The sequence below is a fragment of the Homo sapiens genome, chromosome 1 (assembly GCF_000001405.40).
Source record: "Homo sapiens chromosome 1, GRCh38.p14 Primary Assembly".
Classification (NCBI taxonomy): Eukaryota; Metazoa; Chordata; class Mammalia; order Primates; family Hominidae; genus Homo; species Homo sapiens.
In genome coordinates, this window is record NC_000001.11 from 74985825 (window position 1) to 74995727 (window position 9903).

The 9903-nt window shown below is 39.1% G+C and overlaps 1 annotated feature.

Moving 5' to 3' along the window:
* Positions 1133 to 1632: an enhancer, noted in NCBI's record as "H3K4me1 hESC enhancer chr1:75452641-75453140 (GRCh37/hg19 assembly coordinates)". NCBI's record gives its function as "activates a minimal SCP1, AML or CMV promoter by ChIP-STARR-seq in primed H9 embryonic stem cells {active_cell/tissue: H9 hESC(primed)}" and the evidence as "EXISTENCE:reporter gene assay evidence [ECO:0000049][PMID:30033119]".

Genomic DNA, 9903 nt, shown 5'->3' on the forward strand with positions numbered 1-9903 from the left:
GAGGACACAATGAGAAGGCACCATTCTCTGCAGGAAGTGGGCCCTCACTAGACACCAAATCTGCTGGTACTTTGGTCTTGAACTTCCTAGCCTCCAGAACTGTGAGAAATAAAGTTCCATTATTTATAAGCCACCCGGTCTATGACATTTTGTTATAGCAGCCAGAAAAGACTAAAACAACTACACTACTCCAGTCACACTACCTCATGCTTCCATGCCTTTTTATGTGCTGTTGCCCCTGGCTGGCATACCATTTTGTTCTACCTTTTCTTCCCTACTGATAAGTTCTATTTTTCCTAGAGATGAAGTTCAAAGCTTCTCTTGACCTATAAAGTCTAAATGCCCTTCAACTGGATTGCAATATTACTCTAGGTAAACTTCTATCAAAGCATTCCTAAAGCTATGTAATATTCCAATGGACTGGGCAGAGGGAAAAAAGCTATATAGTAATATCTGTGAAGCTGTGAACACCTTGGAGGAAGAAAGTACAATTCTGTTTTCCTCTGTGCCTCACATACAGTATGTATTCCTTCTCCAAAGCTTATTTAATGAATTTTTTTCACCATTTACTAAGGACTTACTATTATCCAGGTTCTGTACTAAGGGTTTTATATTTTTTTCAATACTCACAAAAACTCTATGAATTAGGTACTATTATTAATCTCTATTTTATAAATGATGAAAGTGATTAGAGGGAGCCAAGATGACCGAATAGGAACAGCTCCGGTCTACAGCTCCCAGCATGAACAATGCAGAAGAAGGGGGATTTCTGCATTTCCATCTGAGGTACCGGGTTCATCTCACTAGGGAGTGCCAGACAGTGGGTGCAGGACAGTGGGTGCAGCGCACCATGCATGAGCCAAAGCAGGGCGAGGCATTGCCTCACTCAGGAAGTGCAAGGGGTCAGGGAGTTCCCTTTCCTAGTCAAAGAATGGGGTGACAGACAGCACCTGGAAAATCAGGTCACTCCCACCCTAATACTGAGCTTTTCCAATGGGCTTAAAAAATGGCACACCAGGATATTATAACGCGCACCTGGCTTGGAGGGTCCTACGCCCAGAGAGTCTCACTGATTGCTAGCACAGCAGTCTGAGATCAAACTGCAAGGCAGCAGCGAGGCTGGGGGAGGGGCGCCTGCCATTGCCCAGGCTTGCTTAGGTAAACAAAGCAGCTGGGAAGCTGGAACTGGGTGGAGCCCACCACAGCTCAAGGAGGCCTGCCTTCCTCTGTAGGCTCCACCTCTGGGGGCAGGGCACAGACAAACAAAAGACAGCAGTAACCTCTGCAGACTTAAATGTCCCTGTCTGATAGCTTTGAAGAGAGTAGTGGTTCTCCCAGCACACAGCTGGAGATCTGAGAACAGGCAGACTGCCTCCTCAAGTGGGTCCCTGACCCCTGAGCAGCCTAACTGGGAGGCAACCCCCAGTAGGGGCAGACTGACACCTCACACAGCTGGGTACTCCTCTGAGACAAAACTTCCAGAGGACCAATCAGGCAGCAGCATTTGCAGTTCACGAAAATCTGCTGTTCTACAGCCACTGCTGTTCTGCAGCCACCACTGCTGATACCCAGGCAAACAGGGTCTGGAGTGGACCTCTAGCAAACTCCAACAGACCTGCAGCTGAGGGTCCTGTCTATTAGAAGGAAAACTAACAAACAGAAAGGACATCCACACCAAAAACCCATCTGTACATCACCATCATCAAAGACCAAAAGTAGATAAAATCACAAAGATGGGGAAAAAACAGAGCAGAAAAACTGGAAACTCTAAAAAGCAGAGCGCCTCTCCTCCTCCAAAGGAAAGCAGTTCCTCACCAGCAATGGAACAAAGCTGGACGGAGAATGACTTTGACGAGTTGAGAGAAGGCTTCAGACGATCAAACTACACCAAGCTACAGGAGGAAATTCAAACCAATGGCAGAGAAGTCAAAAACTTTGAAAAAAAAATTAGACAAATATATAACTAGAATAAACAATGCAGAGAAGTGCTTAAAGGAGCTGATGGAGCTGAAAGCCAAGGCTCGAGAACTACATGAAGAATGCAGAAGCCTCAGGAGCTGATGCGATCAACTGGAAGAAAGGGTATCAGTGATGGAAGATGAAGTGAATGAAATGAAGCGAGAAGGGAAGTTTAGAGAAAAAAGAATAAAAAGAAACGAAAAAAGTCTCCAAGAAATATGGGACTATGTGAAAAGACCACATCTAGTTCTGATTGGTGTACCTGAAAGTGACAGGGAGAAAGGAATCAAGTTGGAAAACACTCTGCAGGATATTATCCAGGACAACTTCACCAATCTAGCAAGGCAAGCCAACATTCAGATTCAGGAAATACAAAGAACGCCAGAAAGATACTCCTCGAGAAGAGCAACTCCAAGACACATAATTGTCAGATTCACCAAAGTTGAAATGAAGGAAAAAATGTTAAGGGCAGCCAGAGAGAAAAGGTTGGGTTGCCCACAAAGGGAAGCCCATCAGACTAAGAGCGGATCTCTCGGCAGAAACTCTACAAGCCAGAAGAGAGTGGGGGCCAATATTCAACATTCTTAAAGACAAGAATTTTCAACCCAGAATTTCATATCCAGCCAAACTAAGCTTCATAAGTGAAGGAGAAATAAAATACTTTACAGACAAGCAAATGCTGAGAGATTTTGTCACCACCAGGCCTGCCCTAAAAGAGCTCCTGAAGGAAGCGCTAAACATGTAAAGGAACAACCGGTACCAGCCGCTGCAAAATCATGCCAAATTGTAAAGACCATCGAGGCTAGGAAGAAACTGCATCAACTAACAAGCAAAATAACCAGCTAACATAATAATGACAGGATCAAATTGACACATAACAATATTAACTTTAAATGTAAGTGGACTAAATGCTCCAATTAAAAGACACAGACTGGCAAATTGGATAAAGAGTCAAGACCCATCAGTGTGCTGTATTCAGGAGAACCATCTCACGTGCAGAGACACACATAGGCTCAAAATGAAGGGATGGAGGAAAATCTACCAAGCAAATGGAAAACAAAAACAGGCAGGGGTTGCAATCCTAGTCTCTGATAAAACAGACTTTAAACCAACAAAGATCAAAAGAGACAAAGAAGGCCATTATATAATGGTAAAGGGATCAATTCAACAAGAAGAGCTAACTATCCTAAATATATATGCACCCAATACAGGAGCACCCAGATTCATAAAGCAAGTCCTGAGTGACCTACAAAGAGACTTGGACTCCCACACAATAATAATGGAAGACTTTAACACCCCACTGTCAACATTAGACAGATCAATGAGACAGAAAGTTAACATGGATACCCAGGAATTGAACTCAGCTCTGCACCAAGCGGAACTAATAGACATCTACAGAACTCTCCACCCCAAATCAACAGAATATACATTTTTTCAGCACCGCACCACACCTATTCCAAAATTGACCACATAGCTGGAAGTAAAGCTCTCCTCAGCAAATGTAAAAGAACAGAAATTATAACAAACTGTCTCTCAGGCCACAGTGCCATCAAACTAGAACTTAGAATTAAGAAACTCACTCAAAACTGCTCAACTACATGGAAACTGAACAACCTGCTCCTGCATAACTACTGGGTACATAACGAAATGAAGGCAGAAATAAAGATGTTCTTTGAAACCAACGAGAACAAAGACACAACATACCAGAATCTCTGGGACACATTCAAAGAGACAGCAGGAAAGATCCAAAATTGACACCCTAACATCACAATTAAAAGAACTAGAAAAGCAAGAGCAAACACATTCAAAAGCTAGCAGAAGGCTAGAAATAACTAAAATCAGAGCAGAACTGAAGGAAATAGAGACACAAAAAACCCTTCAAAAAAATTAATGAATCCAGGAGCTGGTTTTTTGAAAAGATCAACAAAATTGATAGACCGCTAGCAAGACTAATAAAGAAGAAAAGAGAGAAGAATCAAATAGACACAATAAAAAATGATAAAGGGGATATCACCACGGATCCCACAGAAATACAAACTACCATCAGAGAATACTACAAACACCTCTACGCAAATAAACTAGAAAATCTAGAAGAAATGGATAAATTCCTTGACACACCCTCCCAAGACTAAACTAGGAAGAAGTTGAATCTCTGAATAGACCAATAACAGGATCCGAAATTATGGCAATAATCAATAGCTTACCAACCAAAAAGAGTCCAGGACCAGATGGATTCACAGCTGAATTCTACCAGAGGTACAAGGAGGAGCTGGTACCATTCCTTCTGAAACTATTCCAATCAATAGAAAAAGAGGGAATCCTCCCTAACTCATTTTATGAGGCCAGCATCATCCTGATACTAAAGCCTGGTAGAGACACAACCAAAAAAGAGAATTTTAGACCAATATCCTTGATGAACATTGATGCAAAAATCCTCAATAAAATACTGGCAAACCGAATCCAGCAGCACATCAAAAAGCTTATCCACCATGATCAAGTGGGCTTCATCCCTGGGATGCAAGGCTGGTTCAAATCAATAAATGTAATCCAGCATATAAACAGAAGCAAAGACAAAAACCACATGATTATCTCAATAGATGCAGAAAAGGCCTTTGACAAAATTCAACAACACTTCATGCTAAAAACTCTCAATAAATTAGGTATTGATGGGACATATCTCAAAATAATAAGAGCTATCTATGACAAACCCACAGCTAATATCATACTGAATGGGCAAAAACTGGAAGCATTCCCTTTGAAAACTGGCACAAGACAGGGATGCCCTCTCTCACCACTCCTATTCAACATATTGTTGGAAGTTCTGGCCAGTGCGATCAGGCAGGAGAAGGAAATAAAGGATATTCAATTAGGAAAAGAGGAAGTCAAATTGTCCCTGTTTGCAGATGACATGATTGTATATCTAGAAAACCCCATTGTCTGAGCCCAAAATCTCCTTAAGCTGATAAGCAACTTCAGCAAAGTCTCAGGATACAAAATCAATGTACAAAAATCACAAGCATTCTTACACACCAATAACAGACAAACAGAGAGCCAAATCATGAGTGAACTCCCATTCACAATTGCTTCACAGAGAATAAAATACCTAGGAATCCAACTTACAAGGGATGTGAAGGACCTCTTCAAGGAGAACTACAAACCACTGCTCAATGAAATAAAAGAGGATACAAACAAATGGAAGAGCATTCCATGCTCATGGGTTGGAAGAATCAATATCGTGAAAATGGCCATACTGCCCAAGGTAATTTATAGATTCAATGCCATCCCCATCAAGCTACCAATGACTTCCTTCACAGAATTGGAAAAAACTACTTTAAGTTCATATGGAACCAAAAAAGAGCCTGCATCGCCAAGTCAATCCTAAGCCAAAGGAACAAAGCCAGAGGCATCATGCTACCTGAATTCAAACTATACTACAAGGCTACAGTAACCAAAACAGCATGGTACTGGTACCAAAACAGAGATATAGACCACCAATGGAACAGAACAGAGCCCTCAGAAATAATGCCAAATATCTACAACTATCTGATCTTTGACAAACCTGACAAAAACAAGCAATGGGGAAAGGAATCCCTATTTAATATATGGTGCTGGGAAAACTGGCTAGCCATATGTAGAAAGCTGAAACTGGATCCCTTCCTTACACCTTATACAGAAATGAATTCAAGATGGATTAAAGACTTAAATGTTAGACCTAAAACCATAAAAACCCTAGAATAAAACCTAGGCAATACCATTCAGGACATAGGCATGGGCAAGGACTTCATGTCTAAAACACCAAAAGCAATGGCAACAAAAGCCAAAATTGACAAATGGGATCTAATTAAACTAAAGAGCTTCTGCACAGCAAAAGAAACTACCTCAGAGTGAACAGGCAACCTACAAAATGGGAGAAAATTTTCGCAACCTACTCATCTGACAAAGGGCTAATATCCAGAATCTACAATGAACTCAAACAAATTTACAAGAAAAAAACAGACAACCCCATCAAAAAGTGGGTGAAGGATATGAACAGACACTTCTCAAAAGAAGACATTTATGCAGCCAAAAACACATGAAAAAATGCTCATTATCACTGGCCATCAGAGAAATGCAAATCAAAACCACAATGAGATACCATCTCACACCAGTTAGAATGGCGATCATTAAAAAGTCAGGAAACAACAGTTGCTGGAGAGGATGTGGAGAAATAGGAACATTTTTACACTGTTGGTGGGACTGTAAACTAGTTCAACCATTGTGGAAGTCAGTGTGGCAATTCCTCAGGGATCTAGAACTAGAAATACCATTTGACCCAGCCATCCCATTACTGGGTATATAACCAAAGGATTATAAATCATGTTGCTATAAAGACACATGCACACATATGTTTATTGCGGCACTATTCACAATAGCAAAGACTTGGAACCAACCCAAATGTCCAACAACGATAGACTGGATTAAGAAAACGTGGCACATATACACCATGGAATACTATGCAGCCATAAAAAATGATGAGTTCATGTCCTTTGTAGGGACATGGATGAAACTGGAAATCATCATTCTCAGCAAACTATCACAAGGACAGAAAACCAAACACCGCATATTCTCACTCATAGGTGGGAATTGAACAACAAGAACACATTGACACAGGAAGGGGAACAACACAGTTTGGGGACTGTTGTGGGGTGGGAGGAGGGGGAGGGATAGCATTAGGAGATATACCTAATGCTAAATGATGAGTTAATGGCTGCAGTACACCAACATAGCACATGTATACATATGCAACAAACCTGCACATTATGCACATGTACCCTAAAACTTAAAGTATAATAATAATAAAATAAAAATAAATAAATAAATAAATAAATAAATAAATAAATAAAATGATGAAAATAAGCCACATAGAGGTTTAGTGGTATATCCAAGTTCACACAGCTAGTAAGTGACTACGCATATGTCAATAATCAATATCAAGTTCAATAATAATAAACATTTATAAATGTTTTGAAGTAGAAATGGCCATATGAGAATATATACAAGTAAGCCAAAAACTATACTTATTCATTTATTCAAAAATATTTACTGAGGATATATTAAGTGTTAGATACTTTTCTAGGTGCTTAGAATACAACAATTAGCTAAAACAGTACCTGCTCTCATAAAGATTACATTCCAGTTTGTGGAGACAGACATTAAACAGGTATATAGAAATGACAGAGAGAGAGAGAGAGAGAGAGAGAGAGAGAGAGAGAGAGAGAGAGAGATATTCATTAAGTGCTATGAAGAAAAATAAAGTAGGGTAAGGAATATTAAGAATTGGAGATGGATAAATGAAGGAGGTCTGTTTCTTATGGGGTGGTAAGGGAAGGCCTTTATGATACAGTATCTTTTGAGCACAGAGATGAATGAAATGAAGAGTCTTGTAGATACCTGGAAGAAGAATATTACAGGCAGAAGACACAACATATTAAAGGCTCTGAGCAGGAAGCAAGCTGGATGTGTTTAGGGGAACAACATAGCTGCAATGGTGTAAGCAAAGAGGAGAAAGGCATCATTCAACTGTACTCTGAGTTTCTCTAAGCAAATGTCTCTGCCCTTTAAAGTAACTCTCTAAGTAAAACTAATTAAACCCCTTTTTTTGCTGTAACTCTCAATTTTTTTAAGAAAACAAAACATATTGCTTAATTTTCTTTAGGTCTGCTATGATTTTGCTCATTCTCTGGGTATGTAGGAGAGAGATAATGTTCACATCTCAACTGAAGTGTTGCATAGTTTTACTGGAGATCTGTTACTTTTCATTTATTTAAAGAAAACATATGATCATTGATGGAGAAAAGAGAAAACCCACAGAAAGTTCATTGTGGATGAAATATATGGAAAAATAAGTATAGTCACGTTAGTCTACCAATTAGGAGAGCTAGGATAAATTAAAAATAAAAATAATTGTACTAAAAGTTAAAACCAGGTAAATCTAAAACTTCAGGACCCCAAAGCTACCACTCAAAACAGCCCAATATCAACTGAAATGGATGTCCAGTCCAAAGATACATCAAAAAGTAGATGCATTCAAATAGCATTTAAGTCTAAAGCTGAGTGCTCATTTGCCAAGCAGACAGGCCATTAAAAACCTGTGGTTTTGGATGTTTTCAACTGAACTTGAATTTTCAGATGTATAAATTAGTTTACCTCCTTGGAAAGACATGATTTCCTGTTTTGAAGAGAAATGTAGCCTTCTAAAAGCTTACTTAAAAGGTTCAAAAGGCTACTTGGGCATCAAATAACTATTAAAAACAATATTTTGACTATTTAAGTGTAAACGAATCAGAAACATATGGATTAAATTTCCCTTAAATTGCACATGCACCAAACTTAAGAGTAAAAGCATGGGTGAAACCTGTTTTGGATTTCAGTGAGCCCAAAACATTTGAAAAATCATCTGAGATGATCAGTGAACTCAAAGTACAGCAGGATTCATCCTTCCTTAATTCATCCCTGTCCTATGCTTCTGGTCTTAATATAAGGAAGAGTGTAAGTACACAAATAGCTTAGAGGTAAAATGTCTAGATCTAAATTTAAATGAGATTTTAAAATAAAGAGAGAAGAAATTGTTAAAATCTTTTTGAAACCTGTATTTAAAGAGAAAGTCTTTATGGTAAAGAAAATCTGAAATATTATTTAGACTCCTTGTACAATTTATTTTTGAGTCTCTAATTAAAGATTGAATTCACATGATTCTAGGATGAATAATAAACCAACTTTTTAAACATATATTATGTTCTAGTCACTGTGCTTAGCACTGTCACATTCATTATTTCTTCATTTAATCTCACCGAAAAATAGCTTTAGGCCCCTGTTATACACAGAGGAGACAAGATATTTGTTGTTTACTCAGTCTTACTCTTTTCACCTTGAGCTATTTACAATTAACAACCTGAATCAACTAACAAAAATATTATAATTTCCTCATCAAAGTAAACTAACATTAAGAATTGAAGTCCTTAGCTACTAGTAGTAGAACTACACAGTACTGGGAGACTGCATAGAAAGTAGTTAAGAGCACATGTTTTTGGGTAGCAAGATGTTTAGTCTTTTTGTACCTAACTCCTTTGTATAATTGGAAAATACTTGTCCCATAAAATCGCTGTGAATATAAAATGGGAAGTTGTATGTAATATGCTGAAAGTAACTGCTTAATGAAAGAAAACTATTGCTTAAGAAATATGTGTATATTCACGTGCTCAATAATTATTTCTTCCAACAACCTCTCAGAGCCAGACTGTGTCACTTCCTGTAACTCTTCCTAGTATGGGCACCTCACTTCTCTCTCTAGACTCCCTAGACCTAACTCTTCACCATGCACTGAGTAGATAATTAATAATTTCCACACCTGTTGAAAAGATTGCTTGGAACTACTTCCATCACAAGTTACAACCATCCACCTTATGGACTGTATCCTGCAGGATACCGTGCTGGCTACTTGAAGATGGAGGCTACTTCAGCACGTGTCAGGCCAGAAACTACCTGTGTCAACCAGTGGGGCTTGCCATGACCCATCTCCTACTAAGTGACATATAGAGGGAGCCTCCTTTTTCCCATTAAAATCTAGCTTGTCTCCTCTACCACCAGTTTAGGGAGTTTACTGCGTTCTAAGAAGTGATCTTTCCCTGGATACCTCTTAGCTTCTTCATTCTGCTCATCCACTCCGCATAACTGAGAACTGGGTAGCTCCAAAGTTCAGATTCATTATCTCTGAAAAAATACGATAAAACATTGATATCACCCTCCCTATCAGCTACTCATGCTTTCTTATCTGGGGGCCATTCCTCTATCTCCCTGTGACCTCCAACTATTGCTCAGCAGGGAGATGGAAATAGAGTGCCTGGGAATAGTTCCCAGAACCATACTGTTACCTACAGAAAAAATACCACAGGACATTTTTCCTTG